The sequence below is a fragment of the Homo sapiens genome, chromosome 8, assembly GCF_000001405.40.
Source record: "Homo sapiens chromosome 8, GRCh38.p14 Primary Assembly".
Lineage (NCBI taxonomy): Eukaryota > Metazoa > Chordata > Mammalia > Primates > Hominidae > Homo > Homo sapiens.
The window spans coordinates 141465497-141487704 of NC_000008.11; the positions used below are offsets into that span (position 1 = coordinate 141465497).

Sequence of the window (22208 nt, forward strand, 5' to 3'; positions counted from 1 at the left end):
GCCAGGTGTGCCCCAGGCTGGAAGGAGGGTGACAGTGAGGACAGGTGAGGGGGAGTAAGAGGGGTGCAGGGCAGTGCACGGCAGGTCCTGGGGACAAGGCTCGCTGGGTCTGGAGGCGAGCTGTAAAGGTGGGAGTGCCTGAAGCTGGTGATGGTCACACCAAGGGATGGCCGGGGGAGTGGGTGGCTGTGGGGGATGGAAGACAAGGTCCTTGGGAGGGAGGAGATCCAGGCCTGGAGAAGTCAGGGTGAGGGGAAGACAGGGAAATCCCCCAGGAGTCAGGCATGGGGAGTGAGCTAGGGGGTGTCCCTGACTGGAGCGAGGGGCCATCCAGGACAGGTGCATGGTAGGTAGGTGGCAGGGGGTATGGACTGAGGACTTGGGAGGCAGAGCTGGGACTTTGGGAAGGAAGGGCCATGAGCAGTGACAAGGACCCTAGCCCATCTCTAGGCCCAGGGGTCTGAGGGCTGTGAGAGAAAAGCCAGCCCCACCTGAGAGGGCTTTGATGGCCTCTGGCGGATATAGTGGGGTGGTCTGTAGAGGGGCAGGAAGGAGAATAGAGTGTTTGTAGATGAGAAGAGACAGAGGGGTTTGCTGCTGGGCGGCGAGGCTTCAGTGTGGGCTGGGGTCTTGCCAGGAGCACCCAGGGTCCTGTGGCCTCTCCATCAGGTGACAGTGTGGCCTGGCTGGGGCAGGTGTTTCATGTGGAGCCAGGACAGGAGACAGTGAGCAGTGCCTCCCATGTGCCCGCCCAGGAGGTATGCAATGATGAACAGATGTGGGCTCCCTCCAAGCACCCAGCCCTATAGAAGTCCCTGTGGGCCATGGCGGGGGCAGACAGGAGGGCAGAGGTCACCACCCCTGCCTGGGGAGAGGATGGGGAGTGGGCAGTGAGGCAAGAGGGGCAGGCACCTGTCCAAGGGGATGGAGATGTTCAGGAAGGTGGCCACCAGCTCACAGGTGTGGCTCCGGGCCAGCAGGGTGATGGCGTGCAGGGTCTTTTCCTTGGCTTGCGGGATGTGGACAGAGCACAGGCGGAGGCGGATGGCCTGGGCCATGCTGGAAACCTGTGCAGAGAGGGAGAGGTCTGGCAGGGAGGCCCAGCCCTGCCCTGGGAGCCTGAAGGCAGAGGGAGGTCTCACCCTGATGAGCACAGAGCCCCTTCAGATATGGCCCTGTCCTGAGCCATCTGGGTGGCGGGCCACAGCCCTGCCCCGGATGCTTGGTCTGAAGAGAAGTCCCAGTCTTGGGGGGACAGGTCCTGCCATGTTCTGCATGGCATTTGAGGTCTTTGTATGCTGTCCACACTGCCCAGGTAGACACTGGAAGGTCCAGGCCCCCTGCCTCCCATCTCATTCTTAAACATGCCACTTTGCACATGGGGTGCCCTGTGCCTGGGGCACCCTGCCTTCTCCTTGGGGTCTCTCCTGCTCATCCCTAATGCCCAGTGCCAGTCTCCCTGTCTGAGCTCACCCACTTGCAGGACTTGGCACTGGGCATCCTCTCTCTGGGGTGCACCCCTCACCTCCCTGCAGGGTCCTCCTCCCCCACATCATATCCCCATACGCTGTCCAGGCAACATCTGCCTGTGTGTCCGTTTTCCCCGAGACCTCAAGCTCCTCGAGGGGCTGGTCTGTGCTGTCCCCTTCCTTTCCCACCATTCCGCACACAGAGGCTGCTCAGACCCCGCAGTCACCACCCAGGACCCAGGGGACTTGCTTGGGCCATTCATTCATTCATTCATTCGCTCATTCAAAACCATCAGACTAGTTGCTTCCTAGGGTGGGATCTGTGTCTCCCCCATCAGGCTCAAGGACCTGAGCCCTGGATGCTGACTGCTGGGCCCGCCCTCCGCCCCCTGGCCCTTCCTGGCCCTTCCTGGCCCAGCCCCAGCGCCCTCACGATCTCCAGCTTGGCCCCGTGCTCCTGGACGGCTGTGAGCAGCATCTCGGAGGCTGCCTGCACGCGGAAGGGGCTGGTGGAGCCCAGGCCGTCGATGGCCGTCCAGATGAGGTCGCTCAACTCTGCCAGTGTGAGCTGCTGCATGATATCCTGTACAGCGGGGGTGGAGAGAGGCCATCACCTTGGGCCCCCTGGGCCTGGGCGTCCGCCTCCCCACTTCTGCTTTTACCCCTTCTCCTTTGTCCCAGGATCTTGCAAGTCTCTGAGCATATCTGGCCTCCTAAGCCCCACTCCTCTGGGTTCCAAGCACCCGTCAGTGATTTGCAGTCTAGACTTGCGCACGTCCACATCTGTCAGAGCCAACCACGGCCCCAGCTCTTTCCCACGCTGACACTCCGTGCTTGTCTTAGGACTGGGTGGCCAGGCCAGCCTCCCCTCTCCCCTCCTCTGCTGTCCTCTGCCCATAGGGCTTCCTCATCTGCCAGCCTCAGCCCTGTGGGGTGTCTCCCTGCCAGGCTCCAGTCCTCCTTATGAGCATTTATCAAAGAGAAAGTGAACTTCCTGGCTGTGAAGGAGCTTCGAGGTCACCTGGGCCAACCCCCAGTCCCAGAAGGGTGTGTAGGCTGCCATCAGCCTTGGAGCAGGTCAGGGTGGGTGCAGCCAGGACCCAGCTCCTGTCCCAGGACAGGCAGCACTGTCCCAGGACCCTGACACCCTCTGTCCATCTCCTCCTAGGAGTGGCTTTAAAGGTCCAGGAAGGTGGGTCTCGCCTCTGCAAGCAGCCGTGAGCTCAGGGGTAAGGAAGGGGTTCTAGAGAAATGCAAGATGATGGGTGTTACCCCCGCCTCATAGCCTCAGACTATAGCCTCCTGGAGGGGGGACTGGGCCTCAGTCACTGCTGCAAAGGTAGAACTTTCTGGAAAGACTTTAGGCATTGTACCACTAGCTATACACAGCTATTTATATTTCAATTTAAGTACAATTAAAAATTCAGTTCTGCAGTAGCACTAGCCACATTTCAAGTGCTCCATGGCTCCCTGTGGCCAGTGGCTACCTTGGGTAGCACAGAGATAGAACACGCCCATCCTCCCAGAGGGTTCTCTGCACAGTGGGGACACACAGCATTGAACCGAAGGAAGTTAGAAGCTAAAGGAGGGATAGGAGAGCAGCCTGACAGAAAATTAGGGCATTTGCAAGGATGTCAGGATGGCAAAATGCTTCTTTGCATGTTAGGATATTTGTTGGAGTGCCTGCAATCTGTTAGGACATTTCTAAGTATATTAGAATATCAAATTAAGTGTTAAATAATGGATGTTAGAATATTTATTAGAATCTTTTAATTCTAAAATTTTGATACAGTGTTTGTGAGAATGTTAGAGTATTAGCACAATGGTTAGAATGTTAAAATAATTTTAGTGGAAGATTTGTGGTAAGAACTTTTTAAAAGAATATTATGTTACACATCTGGCTAGAATATTTGTTAGAGGAATAAAATCATTGGCTAGAATGTTAAACTTTTGCTTAAAGCTAGCATTTAGAATGTTTGTGAAGAAATTCAACTTGGAATGGTGGTTAGATTCTCAGAATACTACAATCTCAGGATTGGTAAAGACTTTGGAGCCATCTCCCTTCAATCAAGGGCAGGAATAAATGTGAGATAAAGGTGGCAGTGATGGTAGAAGTGGTGGTGGTGGTGATAATGATGGTGGTGCAGGGTCATAGTAATGCAGATGGTGATGGTGGTTGTAGTCATGGTGATGTGGTGGTCGTGGCAATGGTGGTTATGGTGATGGTGGTGGTGACAGTGATAGTGATCATGATGGTGATGGTGATGATGCTTATGGTGATAGTGATGGTGGTGGTGATGGTGGTGATAATGTTGGTGGTGGTGACAGTGACCATGATGGTGGTGTTGATGATTACAGTGATCATGATGGTGGTGATGATGTTGGTGGTGATGACTGTGGGGGTGGTGATGGTACTAATGGTGGTGGTGGTGATGATAGTGATGTTGATGATGCTTATGGTGATAGCAATGGTGGTGGTGGTGGTGATAATGTTGGTGGTGGTGACAGTGACCATGATGGTGGTGATGTTGCTGGTGGTGATGACTGTGGGGGCGGTGATGGTACTAATGGTGGTGGTGGTGATGATAGCGATGGTGGTGATGATGGTGGTGATAATGTTGGTGGTGACAGTGATCATGATGGTGGTGATGATGTTGGTGGTGATGGAGATGGTGGTGATGGTGGTGATGATGATGCTGGTGGTGGTGGCGGTGGTAGTGGTGGTGATGATGCTTGTAGTGATGGTGGTGGTAGTGATGATGGTGATAGTGATGCTGGTGGTGGTGGCTGTGATGGTGATGGTGGTGATAATGGTGGTAGTGGTGACAGTGACAGTGATCATGATCGTGGTGATAATGCTGGTGGTGATGATGACAGTGGGGGTGGTGATAAAGATGTCATGTATCCAAGACTACATGAGGAGTTAGGGGCAAACTTGGGACCAGAACCTAGGCCCAAAGTATCTGTTTTCCAGCTGGAACCTTCTCAGCCCTGTGGTTCTATGATGGTTCTGTGATTAGCAGACCCTCCCATCCGCACCATCCTACTGCTCCCATCTGTCTGGGGAGAGCCAGAGCTGGACACCCATGGTCTGTGTGCAGGGACCACATGGGGTGAAGCAGCTGTCCCTTCAGTGAAACTCTTCCTTCCCGGCCCTGCCTCTGCCTTCAGGGCAGGTTCTGCAGGGTAAACTGCAGCCAAGTAAGGTATTCTTCCTTCTGGACACAAACAGTGAGTTGGCCCTAGGGCTTTAGGTTTTCCACACTAAACTTCTAACTGGCCTCAGCACACCAATGGCTTGCAACAGTTGCTGAGAGCACGGGTTCTGGAGTAGCTGGGGCCGGATCAAATTCCAGTGGGGCACTGACCAGCCCTGTGCCATCATTTCTTCATCATTTGGTTCAATTCAGTTTATAAAACTTGAGGAAGGGATGTGGTAATGTCTGTGAAGCCCCTGGCATAGGTAATAAGTAGGCATCTAATGTGTGCTGGCTCCCCAAACCTTCCTGGCTCCACTTCAACAACATGAGAGAGAGTGAGCGAGCGCATTTACCCACCACTCCCCACTCCCCAGATATGTCGTGTGCTCTGGTCACGCCCCTGCCCTGCCCTCCACTCTAAGGACTTTGACCTTGATGACTTGGAAGCTGCAGAGCTGGAAGATGTGGTTCTTTGCCATCTCCTGGGGGCCCAGGGGAGTGGCCTTCTGGTCTCTGCTGTTCCAGAGTGGGGCTCCGTCCGAATGGGCCTGGGAGAGCTCCTTGGGGGCCTGTGATTCTGCCTGCAAAGCTTCTCCTGCTGGCCAGGGGCAGGGTGGGTGAGGGCAGGGCGAAGGTGGTCTTGGGGTCTAGTTTGGGACAGGGCAGGGTTAGGGTAGGGTCATTTGTAATCAGGGTCAGGCCTGTGCCCAATTTGGGGACTGGGATCAGAGTGGTGGGGGTCAGGGTGAGGCCATTACAGGGTTATGGCTCAGATCCAGGTTGGGTCTGGGGGTAAATTTGGGGCAAGGTTGAGGTCAGGGGTGCGGGTGTGGGTCTGCCAGAGGTTGTAGCTGGGGTGGAAGTTGGTGCTCAGAACTCACAGAACTCACTTTTGTGGCACATCAAGAGCTGGTAGAGATGGCTTGCCCCTTCCAGGCTGCAGCGCTGGGTGGCCCTGTCTGGGTCCTGGCACAGCATCCCCAGTATGCCCACCAATTGCCCAATCCTTTTGAAGTCCTCTTTTGGCTGTGTTAAGATTACGGGAATCACTGATGGCAGAACCTCCCTGCAGAGCCCTGCCACACACTCACCCAGCACGGCCTACATCAGAGGTGACCCTCCAAAGGTGTGGCAGGGCTGGGACTGGGGGCTGGGCAAAACATTCAGTAATCAAGAAAAGTAATATTTTAGGTGGCCGGGCGCGGTGGCTCACGCCTGTAATCCCAGCACTTTGGGAGGCCAAGGCGGGCAGATCACGAGGTCAGGAGATCGAGACCATCCTGGCTAACACGGTGAAACCCTGGCTCTACTAAAAATACCAAAAATTAGCTGGGTGTGGTAGCGGGTGCCTGTAGTCCCAGCTACTCGGGAGGCTGAGGCAGGAGAATGGCATGAACCCGGGAGGCAGAGGTTGCAGTGAGCCGAAATCACGCCACTGCACTCCAGCCTGGGCGACAGAGCGAGACTCCGTCTCAAAAAAAAGAAAAAAAAAAAAAAGAAAAGTAATATTTTAATGCACTATTTAGAAAAATCAGAATAAGTGCAAAAAACTCTGTGGTGAGCAAAATCTCAAAACTGTAAGTAAAGTCAGGATCTGACCCTGGTTTTGCATGTCACCTCACCTGTCCTACCCTCATCCTGGTCCTGGTTTAATAAAACTTTATTTACAAAAGCAGGTGGTCAGCCCATGGGCCATAGCTTGCCAAATTGAGTTTTAAAAACATTACATGAAAACATGAATCATCTTGATTACAGAGTTTTTTGTTTTGCGGTAAATTTTGTGCGCAAGGTGAGTATCTTGCTTGCCTTACCCTGGTCCGGTCCTCTGATGTTGAAATGGATTTTGAGTAAATTGAAGCCACTTTAATTGTCCTCCTCCTCCTAGGGGTGCAGGGTCTTTCCCTTGGCAGAACAGTCCCCCCTCCTTCCAGCACTTCTGCCTCCTGCCCTCATTAGATCAGGCAGCCACCAGGCATTAGGGCAAGGAACTTATTTCCCCATCCCCCTGAGTATGCCTAGGGAGTTAATGCGGGTTTGGGCTCATACTCGCGGAAGCGCACTCTCTGACAATGTGCTGATGCAACTCAAGGGCAGTAGCGACAGATGAGGGCTGTGAGCCATGTCATGATAGGGGCTGCACTGGCGGAAGGGTGGTGGGGTGGCCACTCCATGCAGCAAGGAACCCCTAATCAGGCGCAGGGCCGTACAGTTTACCAGCCTTCTCACGGCCTCCGCCCCATCTGAGCTCCACCATATCGCTCTAGGGAGGGGTCATTTCCATTCACTTTACAGGTGAAAAGCTGGGGCTCGTTGAGGAGAAACACCTGTACAAGGCCTCAGGTGCATAGACAGGTGCTTAGCTCCAGGGTCAGGGGTCAGGGTTCAGGGTGACCTGCCTTCAGATCCCAGCTGTGAGGCCTCGGGCAGGTCCTGCCCCTCCCTGCCTGTTCCCTCAGTTGCAAGGAGATTGCCTGGGCCGCCAGTCAATATGGAGCCCGGCTGTGCTGTCGGGTATTCAGGGATCCACTCTGTCCTGGAGGCGGGTGTCCAGGGGGCCTTGAACCCTATGAACCCTGGGAGGATCTGGGAGGAGGGCGGCTCTGGCTGGGCCCTTGCGATCCAGGGCAGGAGGCCCAGCCGGCAGAGCGGGTGCGGGACGTGGGACCGGCGAACCGCGTACTCACGTCCAAGTAGCCATTGTGGTTCAGGAATTTGAGGAGGATCATGCAGCTGTGCACAGCCCGCTGCCGCTCATGCGCCTTCTCCGACGCCAGCCAGATGTACAGGTGCTGTGGGGCGGGCAGGGTCAGGGAGAGGATTCTAAGGGGCCCTCGGCCCAGGCCCCGCCCACTCGGCCCAGGCCCCGCCCACCGGCTTTGACCCCCCCCCCCCGCCCCCCCCCGCCCCAAGGCCCCATCCATCCTCGGCCAGGCTCTGCCTGCTGCACTTACAAAGCCATCTGGAGACTGGTACGTCAAATAGTTTTTAAGCCAAATCTGATATATGATTAGATATATAATTAGTGGCTCTGAAGTAGGATGAGGGTACATGGTATTTGGAGATTCTGTGACCCAGTGGTGTCCCAGAAACACATCTGTGACTTCCCCAAGACGCGCTGGGCTCCTCTGCACTGCTCACCTTTGCCCTGCGTGCCGTCTGCCTGCTGGGCCCCTCCCTTCCCTTCTCTGCCTGTGGCTGCCTTAGTCCTCAGCCGGGGCTGCGAGAAGTCCCGCTGGGCTTGACCTCTGAGCCAGAGCCAGCCTCCCCTCCCTGGGCTTCCGCCTGCCCCGGGACTGTCATTGCCTGCTCTGGTCTCTCTCCTGACAAGGTGAGGAAGGGCGGGGGGGAGTGGGGGCAGCGGGTTTGGGAGACCCTTCAGGGGACACTGCAGGGGAAGTTCTCTAGGAGGGGAGGGCGGGACCCTCATCAGCCCTCTTTCTTTCTTTTTTTTTTGAGACAGAGTTTCTCTCTTTTGCCCGGGCTGCAGTGAAGTGGTGAGATCTCAGCTCACTGCAACCTCCATCCCCCGGGTTCAAGCGATTCTCTTGCCTCAGCCTCCTGAGTAGCTGGGATTATAGGTGCCCACCACCATGCCTGACTAATTTTTTTTTTTTTTTTTTTATTTTTAGTAGAGATGGGGTTTTACCATGTTAGCCAGGCTGGTCTCGAACTCCTGACCTCAAGTGGTCCACCCGCCTTGGCCTCCCAAAGTGTTGAGATTACAGGCGTGGGCCACTGTGCCTGGCCTATCAGCCCTCTTTCTACCAGGCCACCTGCTGTCTCTCCCTCCCCAGTGCCCCAAACCACTGTGATCCCTAAGTGCGGGTGGCCCTCACCCCTCCTGGTTCCTGGACCACTCGAAGCCCCCAGGTCCCGCCTTGTCTCCTCTGAGATGCCCTCCTTTGGAGTCTGGCCATAGGCTGAGGACCCCTCGGCCCCAGCCGACTGGCCTCCCTGCAGCCTCACCGACAGCAGGAAATGCAGCTCGTCGGCGGTGGGGTTCTGCATGATGAGGCTTTGCAGCATGAAGTCCAGCGCCTCCATGGTCCTGCTGTACAGGCTCTGTGTAGAGACAAGGGTGGTCAGGCAGTGCCACGCCCAGTGGACGCAGGGCTTGAGGAGCGCCTACTTCCTGCATGTGCCGGGCTGCTCACCACTGGGGCTTGCCACCATGCCTGCGAGGGGGCCGCCATGGCCCCCATTTGGCAGATGTGGGGACTGGGTGGGGAGGCCTCTGGTGATCACCCAAGGGCACAGGTATCTCAGTGGCCCGGACGAGTTCATTCCTAGCAGGGCTAGCTTCACAGGAGGGTGCCCTGAGTGGTCCCAGGGTCCCGGGCTGAAAAGGGCCCTGCGCTGGGTGAATGCTCTGGAGGTTCTTAGGTTTGAAGCAGGGGCTGGCATCTTCATTTTGCCCAGGCCCTGCCAATGATGCAGTGGGCTGAGTTCTGGGTCTTACATGCCATGCTCCTAATCTTCACTGCTTTGCTTACTGGGCACGTTCAGGGAAGGAGAGGACCAGAGAAATGCCCCCAGCTACCCTCCCTTCAAGGGCCCACCAGGAGCAGAGCCCTGGGGCTCTGGTCACTCAGTAGGTGCCCTGGGGAGACTTACTTTGACTCTCTGAGCTTACTTTCCTCACCTGAGAATGGCATGAAGTCAGCCCCACCTGCCAGAATGGAGGCAGGCAGGGGATTGGAGTCAACAGGAACCCCAGCTCAGTGCTCCCAGCTCCCAGCGCCGGACCCCCAGACACCAGGTGGCACTCCCTGGGTGAGCCAGCCTCAGTGTCACCGTGTCATCAGGTAACGGGGTCATTCTGAACTGTGGTGGGATTGGGGTGTGGCCAGGGGCCACCCTTCTGGAGGGCTGTGTTGCCCTGGTCCCGGGACACCTTCGTTCTCTCACCACCTCACCCTAAGTGTCTGTCTGTCTAGTTCCAGCCTGGACTCACCCTTGGGGGGTAGGGTCGGGGTTCAAACCCTGCCTCTCCCACCAGACAGCCTCATTTCTCTGAGCATTTCTTTACCCTGGGGCCGCTGCTGGGAAGGTGAGATAACTGATCTAGGGCCTGGCACCTAGCAGGGGCTCAGTTAACACTGGCTCTGGCCACAGGCCGAGGACCGCAGACACACCCGAAGCCAGGCACGGTGACTGTGCCCAGGAGCCACTCATGTACCCAGTGGTGGCCATGAGCAATGGCAGGCATCTCTCTGCAGGGGTGGCTTTTACTGAACAGAACCCAGGAAGGGGTGGGCACTGGCCAAGTGCTGAGAGCAATCCTGGAGTTCCTTCCCCCAGCCTCCTGGGGTGGCAGGGTGGGCTGGGCACGGCCTGGGCACGGCACCACCTCTGAGTAGCTGTGTGGTGAGACTGAGCCCACCCTGCAGGGAAGGTGACTCACTCCAGGTGTTGCAGGGATCCCTACAAGGTTGGGGAACTCATCTCCCCTCCTCTCCGCTTCCCTTGGGCTGCTGGGGAGCTCAGCGAAAACTCAGACCTGACCCTGCCACATAGCATGGCGGCCAAGGCCTGCAGGGCTGGGCAGCACCGGCTTGCCAGCCTCTTCCCGCTGGCTCTCAGGACTGGCAGGGAGGGAGGGAGGCCACACGCGCCACTGTTTACAGGGTGCTCCTCCACGCCACTGCTCACCCAGTGTCTCAGTTCAGTCGCCAAGTGTTAAGTACCATTGGCCCTGTTAGTATCACCCCCATTTTACAGGTGGGCAAACACACTGCAGCATATAGCACACAGCAAACCTGTAGGTGCTCAGAGCAGTGAAGAACTGCCCTGGGTCCCCAGCCCTGGTGCGTCCAGCCTGCCCGCTCCCGAGCCACGGGCCACAGCTGGATGTTGGGAGGCTCCAGAAAGAGGCAGGTGTGCTTCTCCAGGGCATCCAGCAGTGGCAGGGCAAACACGCTGCGGAAGCAGGTGGACAGGAGCTGAGACTTCCTTTCCAAGTCTATGGGAGGCCTCAGCTTGCTGTTGGGAAGACAGAGGGCCATTAGCATGGGGCTGGGGCCTGGGGAGGTCCCTGAGTGGCGTCTGCCTTCATCCCTGCAGACTTCAGGCCTTCTGCTGTTCACAGAGACTCTTGTGCACACATCTGCCTCCCTGGCCCACCTGCCTCTGCAGGGCCTTGAGCTGGGGCATCCTGGCCAGGTGATGTCCTGGTCCATCTCTCCTCTCAGTCCCTGGCTTTAAATGCCACCCTGATGCTGTCTAAGGAGCATCTCCATCTTGATGCATTCCCCCAGGGTAGCTGCACCTGCAGCCCGCCCCATCACAGTGGACTGCAGTGCCGTCCTCCTTGTTGCTTGGGCGAAGCCTCAGCACCTTCTCCATTCTTTTCCCTCCCTCGAAAGCTGCGTCCAGCCCTCCAGCAGCTCCTGACAGCTCTACCATCACAATTTATTCGACATTTAAGGACTTCTTACTCTTAATCAGAACACTTGTTACTTTTCTCCTGGATTGTTCTAGGGAGTCCTGACTGGTCCCCCATTTTTTCTTGGAAGCTCCATCTACTCCCCACACTGGATCCAGACATTCCTTCTCAAGTGTGACTCCCCCAAGGCCCCACCTCGCTCAGGCAAGAGCCAGTGCCCTGCAGTAGCCTGGACGACCTTCCCCGTGGCTCCCGGGGCCCTCAGGCATTCCAGTCCTGCCACCCTGGCCCTCTGCGGGTCCTCCAGCAACCCTGCTGCACGCCAGCCTCGGGGCCTTTGCACCCGCTGTCCCTTCAGCTGGAAACTGCAGGGCTACTCTCTCACCCTTTCAGGTCTTTGCCCAAAAGTCCCCTTTTAGGGCCGACTAACCCAGCCTCAGGCTGTATCCTGGAGCCTAGAAGAGCTTGGGGCCAGTGGTGGGTGCCCAGTCCACCAATATTCAGTTAATCAATTCTCCTTGCAGGGTCTCCTGTAGCCCTCAACCCATGAAGATCTTACCTCCCCTCCACCTCGCTCCCCCAGCTCCATCTGCCTTCAGGCAGCAGTGTCAGCTGTCACTGAGATGTGTGGTTTGTTCATGGTCTGTCCCCATCCCCCAAGGGTCAGCTCTTGGAGAACAGGAATGTTCCCTGCTGTCCCACAGCTGGGTCCTCAGACCCCAGAATGGTGCCTGGCACACAGAATGGTGCTCCATTTCTGACCTCTCCACCTTGCTGCCTGCCAGCTCCAAACCCAAGTGGAGAGGCTGCTGCGTGGCACTGAGGAAGCCCTGTGTGAGGCGGGGGGCCTACCAGAGGCTGGACGCGATGTGCATGGCCTGCTGGCGACTCCGCGTGCACAGAGTGTCCTGGGGCTCCTTCTCCATCAAAACCTGCAAGTCCCAGGTGGCACCAAGCCGCTCAGGCCTGGCCTGTCCCCCTTCCGACGCCAGGTCTCCCCACCCTGGGAAGACCTCAGTGCCCAGCATCCCCGAGAACCGCAGGATTACGCTCTGGCCCTTCACCCGCCCAGAGAGGCCTCTGTGAGCTGCCCCACCAGGAGGGCAGAGCACCAGAGCAAAGCCACTGGAGTCAGGTTAGGACATGCCCTAGAAACCCACCCCACTCCTTCCGCAGGGAGTAAACTGAGGGAGGCTGCCCGCCTCACCCAGGGCCTGGAACACACCATCAGACACTGGAGGAGCTCAGAGGTCTGGAAGAACTCGTAGCTGTGGGCGCCCTCACTCCGGCTCACCGCACCCATCAGCATCAGGGTGGCTGTGAGGAAGCTCTGCTTCAGGGTCTCGTCCTGCAACGGGGGACAGGGTCAGGGCCCAGGGCGCGGGAGTGTGCAGTGGGAGCAAGAGCGTGAGGCTGTGATCCAAGGGGCAGCAGGGTCATGGCTGAAAGGGGACAGCAGAGACCACCCACCGAGGCCGCACCTGGGGGGCTTCTTAAGGGGTGGGGCTGCATGGTTTTAAAACTGTAATTTACAACGTTTAAACACTGGGACAGTGCCTGTAAGTCTCTTGAGATGTGGCAACCCCATGCCCCAGGGCCACAGCAGCAGCGACCCGGGGCAGCGATGTGGCTACTTTGGGGTGGGGGCAGCCCTGCGGGGCCCCTCACAGTGACCTGGGCTGGAGGCCACTGGTGTGAGGTGTGGAGTCAGGGGCTTGTCATCATAACACGATGGACGTCAGCCTGGCCTCTCCGTACCCATGTCCCCCACCCGCAAAGTGAAACCCAGGGTTTGCTTTAAGAGGAGAAGTGAGGGTAGAGGCATCATGAAGCCCAGCGAACTTTCGGTGGGATGGACGGACGAAATCTTGGGCCACCAGAAAGCTGGGCCTGGTTCCTCATGATTCCAGGGTGGGGTGGGGCATGGGGGTGGGCTCCAAGGCCCTGGGAGGTCCTGGAATTCTCTGCTCTGAGAGGCCGGTGGGGCGGCTCTGGGCTGGGGTCCGGGACTCGGTCTTGGTGGGGAGGGGCAGGTGTTGGGATGTTGCAGGGGCAGCCAGAGGCCTACCCAAGAGCTGTAGTGGAAGTAGAAGACCATCCTGGACACGATGTTGTCCACCCACGGGAGGATGTGGGCCCGGGCTTTGGCTGCCACCTGGCCGTATGCCAGGAGGATGGTGCTGCTGGCCCATTTCCAGCGCAGGTCCTCCGAGTTCTGGCCCAGGGGTGGCAGGCAGGTGAGGAGTGTCAGCACCCCGCCCTACCCTCCTCTGGGGAGCTGTGGAGGTGGTTGCCTGGCTCTAGCAGGGCCCTGGGGGCAGGTGTCTGTCCTGAGGGGCAGTGAGCCTCCATCTCCTCAGTCGGAAAACAAGGGGACTAGGACTGGCTCTTTGGGGGATGGCTGGGGCCTTGTTAGGGCCATGGTTTGGGTGGGGTGTTAGGGTGGGGTGTGTGTGGGGCGCTCGTCTCTGCTGGAGCTGGCTGGGGTCCAGGCCCCTTGCCTTCCCCTCCTTGTGGGGGCCCCTCCCACACCCACCTGAATGGGGTGGGTGAACGGGGTAGTGTCCTAGGAGTCCCCAGAGGCTGACCTTCACAGATGGTGGGGGTCTTGCTGTCCTAGACCCCTGCTGGTCTCTGAGGACCCCTGAGCCAGTACCTTTGGGGAGGAGCTGGGGAGACTCCATCTGATGGGCCTGCTCCTGCCAAACTGGTCCAGGACGGCCCAGACGTCATCCAGGTGGCGTGTGGCCGCCAGCCCCAAGGTCAGAGCCATGCCCTGTGGGTCGGGTATCAGGGTCACTCATCAGGGGACCCCAAAGTCCAGGACCGGACCCGGCTCCTCCCCTGGCAGGAGGGAAAACTGAGGAGGAACAGGACCCCCAGAGGGGGTTGGGGCTCATCCAGGGCCCCAGGGCAGCCAGCAACCACCCCACTCTGTCAGGACCTGTGACCGAGCCCATGCCAGGGGACACCCGGCTTATGGGGTCTGGTGGGGGGAGTGAGGGGCGTGGGGGGCAGAGGTGAATCCCTGGAGGCCCATTATCCCTCACTGCCGGCTATGAGCAGGCTGTGCCGGAGTGGCAACGAGGAGATGTGTTTAAGAAGGAGGAGGAGGGCTACGCTGCGGCTGAGATCACGGCTGTAACTGGGGTCAGGGGTTAGCCTGTGATCAGCGTCAAGGTTCAACTGTAGACCAAGGTCAGAACTTAGTTTGTGACCAGGGTCAGGGGTTGGGGTGAGAAGAAGGAGAAGGCTCAGGCTGTGGTCAGGATTAGGGCATGGTGTGAGACCAGCCATCAGGCTCAGCCTGTGGTCACGGTCAGGTGGTGGCGGGGACAGGGTGGGGCCTGGGTCCTCACCTCCCTCTGCTTGGGCCACTGGTGGGATGTTTCCAGGAGGGCTTGCAGGTGTCTCCTGACCGTGGCACCATTTTTTTCAGCTTGAAGGATTAGCCCATAGTAGGTAAACAGGAAGGCCTGTGGGAAGGGCAGCATCTTATCCTGTGCTTGACCCCCCCCAAGGTGGCCTGCCACCTCCTCTGAGCAGCTGCCCCTGACCACACTGGCTTGGCCTCCCTCGGCCCCTGCAGCCACCGCAACACCCGGCTGTGGTCTGTCCAAGCCTCTGCCTGCGGCTGCAGCGAGTGCAGCTCAAGTCCTGCTGTCCAGGCCCCACCCCTGCCTCAAGTCCACCAACTTCTTTCTAGGACCCTGGGTGTCCTATGGACAGAGCCCCTGGGGCTGTGTAGGGGGCAGGCAGGGGCTGCTCCTGGAGGCAGGGTGGGGCTCACCTTCTCAGGGGACTGCTCCTGTTGGGTCCAGCTGGGCGTGGTGAGTGTCCACAGCAGCTCCTTGGACCACACATCCGTGCTCAGGAACGGGACTGACTTGATGGCCATCTGTCAGCAGAGGGGCATGGGGGGCTGGAGCCGTCTGTCCCTCTACCTGAGAGCAGGGCCTGAGATTCTAGCTGCCCCAGCCCACCCTGGCCACCCTGAACCCTGATTCCATCACCCCCTTGTCCCTCCCTTCTTTTGAGTCCCCAGCGCCCAGCTCTCTTCTTTGTTCTATGGTTCTCAGGGACAGGGAACTCATTCCCGAAGATTCTTTCTGCAGAGGGGTTCAAGGTGAGGCTGGGAAACCAGGAGGCTGGAGACTGGAGTCCTGACTGTGTCCTGGGCACCACCCAGGAGTCTCCAACATAGCAGATGATTAGTGAGTGTCAGCTGAAGGTGGCTCCTCTGCGGTGGGTGCCAGGAGGGCAGGGCCTCGTCTGGTTATTCACAGCTGGATCTCCAGCACCCTGCATGGTACCCGGCACACAGCAGATAGGCCATTAATTTTATAAATCAATAAATGAGAAATCAAATGAATGAATGAACTGTCCCTTCAAAATATAAGGTCCTGAAAGTTCTGTTCCTAACATCACGTGATTTTATAACGATGACTGCAATATTTCTCAATTTCAAGTGTTCCCAGATTCTGTGATTCAATATTTCCAAAGTTTTTGATCCCAAGATTCTTTGGGGGTGGGTGATAACCTCCAAAATTATGATCCCAAACCCAAAAACCTTAAAAGCAAAGATTGCTAAATGTGAAGATAAACATTTAAAAAAGCTGGTTCAGCAAAATTACTATAAATTAAGTGGAAAGATGAAGCAAAGTTTTGTTTTATCTTTGTTGCTGCCTATTGCCAAGGGTTAACATCAGAGATCAACAACCCGCACTTTATAAATCGATAAGAAGATGACAAACAAGACACTGTAAAATGATGAAGGGATACATACATGATGAAGACACTGTAAACTCAACCTTGCTAATACTTAAGGAATGAAAACTAATGTAATGTTTTGACTAAGATTGGCAAACAGTCAAACACTGACTATCAGCAAGGAAGTGTCCTTTGGTGGGAGGGTGATTGGATCTGCATTTTTGGAAGGTTTTTTCAATCTCAATTAAAAGGCAATGTCAATATCAAAGTTGAAAATATACAGAATTTCCCTAAGCAACCCCATTTCTAGAAGTTTATCCTAAAGGAATACTAAATTTGTGATGCCATGAGCATGAGGGGACATCTTGTGGGGCAGAAGACACAGGTGGGACCATTTGCATCCTCCTTGGAATTGATCCCTTGGTCCCTGGAATGGAAATCCCCCCCCCACTTATGGTAGAATCTGGAAGAGCTTGTCTGCCCAGGATAGACCTCCTCCTGGCCATTTGTAAAACACTGGGGTACAGCGGGACCTGGGGGGCTGTCTCACCCACAAAACAGGTGATGGCAGAATGTCCATGAAACCCCAGCCCCCCAGGAAGCCCTGAGGTCCCCCAGAAGGTCCCCTCCCCCAGACCTTTACTGTCTTTGTTCACTGCTGCATATAACAATGCCACAGTTCCTTGTCTAAAATTCAAATTCCCAAGCTCAGAAAATTAAACATTTTTCCCCCATAGCTTTGTAGCAACCTCATTGGATAGCAGACTCTGAGCTGCACTGACGTGATGCGATTTGTGGGACCTGGTGTGACTATTTGCTTCTGATTGGATAGCAGACACTGAGCTGCACTGACGTGATGCGATTTGTGGGACCTGGTGTGACTATTTGCTTCTGTAGCAGGGACGCCAATCTATTTCATTCTACATCTGCCCAGACCCTCCTAAGGATGTTCTTGGAATATACAGTGTGTATATCATATTACTTTTTAAAAAATCTAAAATATTCTGAATTTTGAAGCACATCTCTTCCCCAAATTTTTAATTTTTAAAGTTTTAAGTATTTAAAAAATTGAGATATTTTAACTCACAATGAAGTGCACAGATCTTTACTGTAGAGCTCATGAATCCAGCCCATGTAATTTACATCCTCTCAGGATATAGAACATTTGCCACCACCCCAAAAAGCTCTCTCATGCCCCTTCCTGGTTAAGCTCCCTCACTACAAAACTGTTCTGATTTCCCTGCCGATGAGTTTGGCCTTTTCTAGAATTGCATGTAATTGGAAGCAGGCAGTCTGTGATCTTCTGTGTCTGGAACTTTTTCTCTCAGCATGTTTTTGAGATTCATCCATGTCGTTGCATGTGCCGCAAGTTCACTCCTCTTTTTCTATTTTAACTTTTATTATTTCATTTCCTTTGCCTGGTTCAGGTTCAACTTGATCCTTCTCTAGTTTCCTGAGACGGACACTTAGATGATTGACTTTAGATCTTTTCAGGGGGATGTGCGGCATCCTGCCCGTCTGGGTTGTTTCCAGTTTGAGGCTAGAATGAATAAGGCTGCTATGACCATTTTTGTAGAAGTAATTTTGTGTATGGATGTTTTCACATCTCTTGAGTACAATACCGAAAAGTGGGATTGCTGAGTCATATGTTAACTTCAGAAGAAAATGTCAGTTTTCCAAAGAGGTTGCGCCATTTTCCCGTCCTGCCCTCAACGTTCTGCTGGCTCCGCGTCCTTGCCAATGTCTGTTGTGGTCCTTGTTTCACCTGTGTGCCCTTGGCAGAGACACGGAGGCGGCTCCTTGTGGTTTTAACTGAGCCTTCCCTGAGGACTAACGACGCTCATCGTTTTTTCACTTGCTTATTGGTCATTGAGATGTCTTCCTTCCTGAGGTGCGTTGTGGATTTTTTGCTCATTTAAGAAATTGACCTCTTTGTCTTTTGCTTACTGAGTTATACAAGTTCTTTATTTATTCTGGATATAGGCTCTTTTCCAGTTTGTGAGTATTTTCTCCATGTCTGTGGCTTGCCTTTTCATTTTCTTAGCATTATCAGTTGATGAAACGTTTTAATTTTGATGAAATCTAACATCATTTTTTAAATCTTTATGATGATTACTTTCTGAGCCCTAAGAAATATCTAGCTACCCTAAGGCTGGCAAGATTTTCTCCCATGTTTTCTTCTAGACACTTTTGAGTTTTACCTTTTACATTTTAGCCTTTGGCTCCATCTCTAATTAATATTTGCGAATGGTTTGAACTAGGCACTAAAGTTCACTTTTTTTCTTACATATATGAAATAGTTTATAAGACTTTCCCCATTGAACTGCTTTGATATATTTTTCTTTAAAAAAATCAATCGACTGTTTACGTATGGTTTGATATTGGATTTTCTATTCTGTTCAATTGATTTATCTGTTTAACCTATGCCAATGCTTCATGTCTTGTTTGCTGTAGCCCTATAGTAAGTCTTGAAATCAAGTAGCCAATTTCTTGCAACTTTTTTCTTTTTCATAATTGTTTTGGCTATTCTAGGTTCTTTAAAATTTCTTTATAAAAATTTATTCTATAGCTTATATTTAATCCTACAATATAGTTTTCTGAGATTGATTGGCATTGCATTCAATCTACAAATAAATTTTGGGAGAATTGACATCTTACCATTATTAAATCATTTTGTCCACAAACATTGTATGTCTCCACTTTTTAAGGGTTGTTTTAATTTCTCTTTGCAATGCTTTGAAACAATATTGCATATATTTTGTTGCATTTATCTTTGAGTCTTTTATATCTTTAATGCTGCTGAAAATGTCATTTTTTAAGAAAAATTTTATTTTCTAATTATTTGTTACCAGTATATAGAAGTTCAATTGATTTTTATATATTGATCTTGTATCCTGAGATCTTGCTACATCCAACTATTAGTAATTATTAGTTCTAGTATTTTAAATATGATTCTGTAAGATTTTCTATGTATATAGTCACATGTCTACAAAAGAGATAGTTTTACTTTTTGAATTGCAATCTCTGTCTTTTTTCCCTTCTCCTTTTTCTTACCTTATTGCATTGGCTAGCAACTTCAGTGTAATGTTGAGTGGAAGTAGAGAGAAAGGACACCTTTGCTTTATTCCTGATCTTAGTGGGAAAGTGTTTGGTCTTGGATCATTAATTGTGTTAACTGTAGCTTTAGATGTCCATTGTCACATTGAGGCAGTTTCCTTCTACTCCTAGTTTGTTGAGAGCTTTTATCATGGACAGGTATTGAATTCTGTCAGATGCTTTTTCCACATGATTTTTTATAAATATGACCAAACTTTTTTTACTTTATTCTGTTAATGTGTTGAATTGCACTTATTGCTTTTCAAATGTTAAATTGACCTTGTGTCCCTGGGATAAGCCCTCCTTGATCATGGTGTATTATCCTTTTATTCAATTTGTTAATATATTGTTAAGATTTTTGAGTCTATTTTCAGGCAGGCGGTGGCTCATGCCTGTAATCCCAGCACTTTGGGAGGCTGAGGCAGGCAGATCATGAGGTCAAGAGATTGAGACCATCCTGGCCAACATGGTGAAACCCTGTCTCCACTTTAAAAGAAAAAAATACAAAAATTAGCTGGGGGTGGTGGCATGTGCCTGTAGTCCCAGCTACTTGGGAGGCTGAGGCAGGAGAATCACTTGAACCCGGGAGGCAGAGGTTGCAGTGAGCCGATATTGTGCCACTGCAGCCTGGCATGTGCCTCCAGCAACAGAGCGATACTCTGTCTCAAAAAAAAACAACAACAACTATTTTTGAGTCTATTTTCATAAAATATATTGGTCTTTAGTTTTCTTTCTCTTTTTGTAATGTCTTTGGGTTGTGTAGCCCTCATAAAATGATTTAGGAAGTTATTCCTTCCTCCTCTATTTTCTTGAAAACATTTGTATAGAATTAGTACTATTTCTTTTTTAACTTTTTGATAGAATTCACAGTGAAGTGTCTGGGCTTGAAGTTTTCTTAGTGAGAATGTTTTAAATTATGATTTCAATTTATTTAATAGATATAGGACTATTTATTTTTTGTTTCTTATGTCAGTTTGGTAACGTGTTTTTTAGAGAATTTGTCTATTCAATCTAAATTATCTAATTTATTGAATATTTCATTATAATTTTTAATGTCTGAGGGATGTGTAGTGTTCCTTATTCCTTTCTGAAATTGGTATTTTGTGTTTTCTCTCTTTTTGATCAGTCTAGTGAGGGGGTTTATCAATTTACTTATTTATTTATCATTTTTTAAATAGAGATTGGTCTTGCTCTATTGTCCAGGCTGTAGTGCAGTGGTTTGATCCCAGCTCACTGCAGCCTTGAACTCCTGGGCTGAAGTGATCCTTCTGCCTTTAGCCTCATGAGTAGCTGGACTACAGGTATAAGCTACTATGCCTGGCTAGGTTTTAGAAGTGTTTTTTTTTTCTTAAATCTCATATTCAACCCTAATATAAATTTTTTTAGAGACAGGTTCTTACTACGTTGCTCAGGTTGGTCTTGAACTCCTGGCCTCAAGCAGTCCATCTGCCTCAGCCTCCAGAGTAGCTGGCATTACAGGCATAAGCCATGGCATCTGGCTCAATGTATTGATCTTTTGGTTCTAGTCATTCTCTGTTTATCTCTTTTTGTTTCTTTGATTTCTGCTCTAGTTTTTGTTATTCCTTCCTTCTACTTACTCTGAGTTTATTATCTGCTCATTTTTTGGCTAGTTTCTTAAAATAGAGGCTTAGATAATTGACTTTATACCTTTCTTCTTTCCTAATGTAGGCATTAAAATATAAATTTCCTTCTAAATATTGCTTTTTATCGCATCCCACTGATTTTCATATGTTGCGTTTCATTATCATTCAGTTCAAAATATTTTCTAATTTTCCTTGTGATTTCTTCTTTGACTGATGGGTTATTTAGAAATGTGTTGTTTAATTTCCAAGGATTTGAAGTTTCTCCAGATGTATTTTATTTTGGACTCTAATTTGTATTTTGATCAGAGAATGTACTCTGTTTGATATCAGCTGTTTTAAATTTGTTGAAACTTGATATATGGCCCAGCATATGGTCTATCTTGGTGAATTAAAAAAAAAATTTAATATTTTTAATTTTTGTGGGTATATAGTACGTATATAAATTTATGGGGTATATGGGATATTTTGCTACAGGTGTACAATGTGCAATAATCACATTAGGGTAAATAAGGTATCCGTCACTTCAAGCGTTTATCCTTTGTGTTACAAACAATCCACTTATACTCTTTTACTTTATTTTATTATTATTTTTTAAGACGGCGTCTCACTCTTTTGCCCAGGCTGGAGTGCAATGGCACGATCTCGGCTCATTGCAACCTCCATCTCCAGGGTTCAAGCAGTTCTCTGCCTCAGCTTCTCGAGTAGCTGGGACTACAGGTGCATGCCACCATGCCCAGCTAATTTTTGTACTTTTTAGTAGAGACGGGGTTTCGTCATGTTGGGCAGGCTGGCCTTGAACTCCTGACCTCAGGAGATCCACCGGCCTCAGTCTCCCAAAGTGCTGGCATTACAGGCATGAGCCACTGTGCCCGGCCCTCTTTTAGTTATTTTATTTTATTTTGAGATGGAGTCTTGCTCTATTGCTCAGGCTGGAGTGCAGTGGCGTGGTCTTGGCTCACTGCAACCTCTGCTTCCTGGTTTCAAGTGATTCTCCCATATCAGCCTCCCGAGTAGCTGGGATTACAGGCATGTGCCATGATGCTGGGCTAATTTTGTATTTTTAGTAGAGATGGGATTTCGCCATATTGGCCAGGCTGGTCTCGAACTCCTGACCTCAAGTGATGGGCTCGTCTTGGCCTCCTAAAGTGCTGGGATTACAGGGGTGAGCCACCACACCCAGCCTCTTTCAGTTATTTTAAAATCTACAATTGACTAATGGACTATAGTCACCTTGATCTTATTCATCCTTCCTATTTTTTGTACCCATTAACCATCTCCATTTCCCCCCAAACCCCCTGGCGAATATTTTGTTTGCACTTTATTAGACGAATTTGGTTAATGTATTGTTCAAGTTTTCTCTATCCTCCGTAACTTTTTGTCTTCTTGTTCTATCAATTGCTTGTGTTGCTGCTGGTGCTATTTCTACTGGATACCATTCCATTCCAAGTATTCTCCTGCCGCCACCGCTGCTGCTCCTGTCACTACCACTACAGCTCTTCCCATAGGACAATAATGACATTAGCGAGGGTTTCCTGCGTCACTGGCACGGTGCCCGATGCTTTCCACGGATTACCTCGTATACTCGTCATACCCACCATTTGAGTGAAGTGCTTGGATTCCCATTTGACAGATGAGGAAACTAAGGGACCGAGAGGTGAAGTGGGTCCCCCAGGTCACAGAGTGGTGATTGGTTGAATATGGGCTTGGATCCAGGGGGCGGGGGTCTCGTGTCCCTTCCCTCAGC

General features: G+C 52.0%; 1 non-coding gene across 3 annotated transcripts in view; it reads right to left on the reverse strand.

The window, feature by feature from the left end:
- Positions 1-22208, reverse strand: part of MROH5 (maestro heat like repeat family member 5 (gene/pseudogene)) — a 73405-nt gene that overhangs the window by 31672 nt on the left and 19525 nt on the right. Inside the window, exons 7-19 of one of the 3 annotated variants that reach the window (NR_160399.1) lie at positions 14845-14952; positions 14414-14530; positions 13711-13830; positions 13123-13269; positions 12280-12402; positions 11907-11986; positions 10429-10651; positions 8636-8731; positions 7354-7458; positions 5560-5695; positions 5101-5267; positions 1903-2052; positions 913-1067 (exon numbers count right to left, since the gene is read on the reverse strand). This is a non-coding gene — a transcript (maestro heat like repeat family member 5 (gene/pseudogene), transcript variant 1, non-coding). 3 annotated transcript variants of the gene reach the window in all.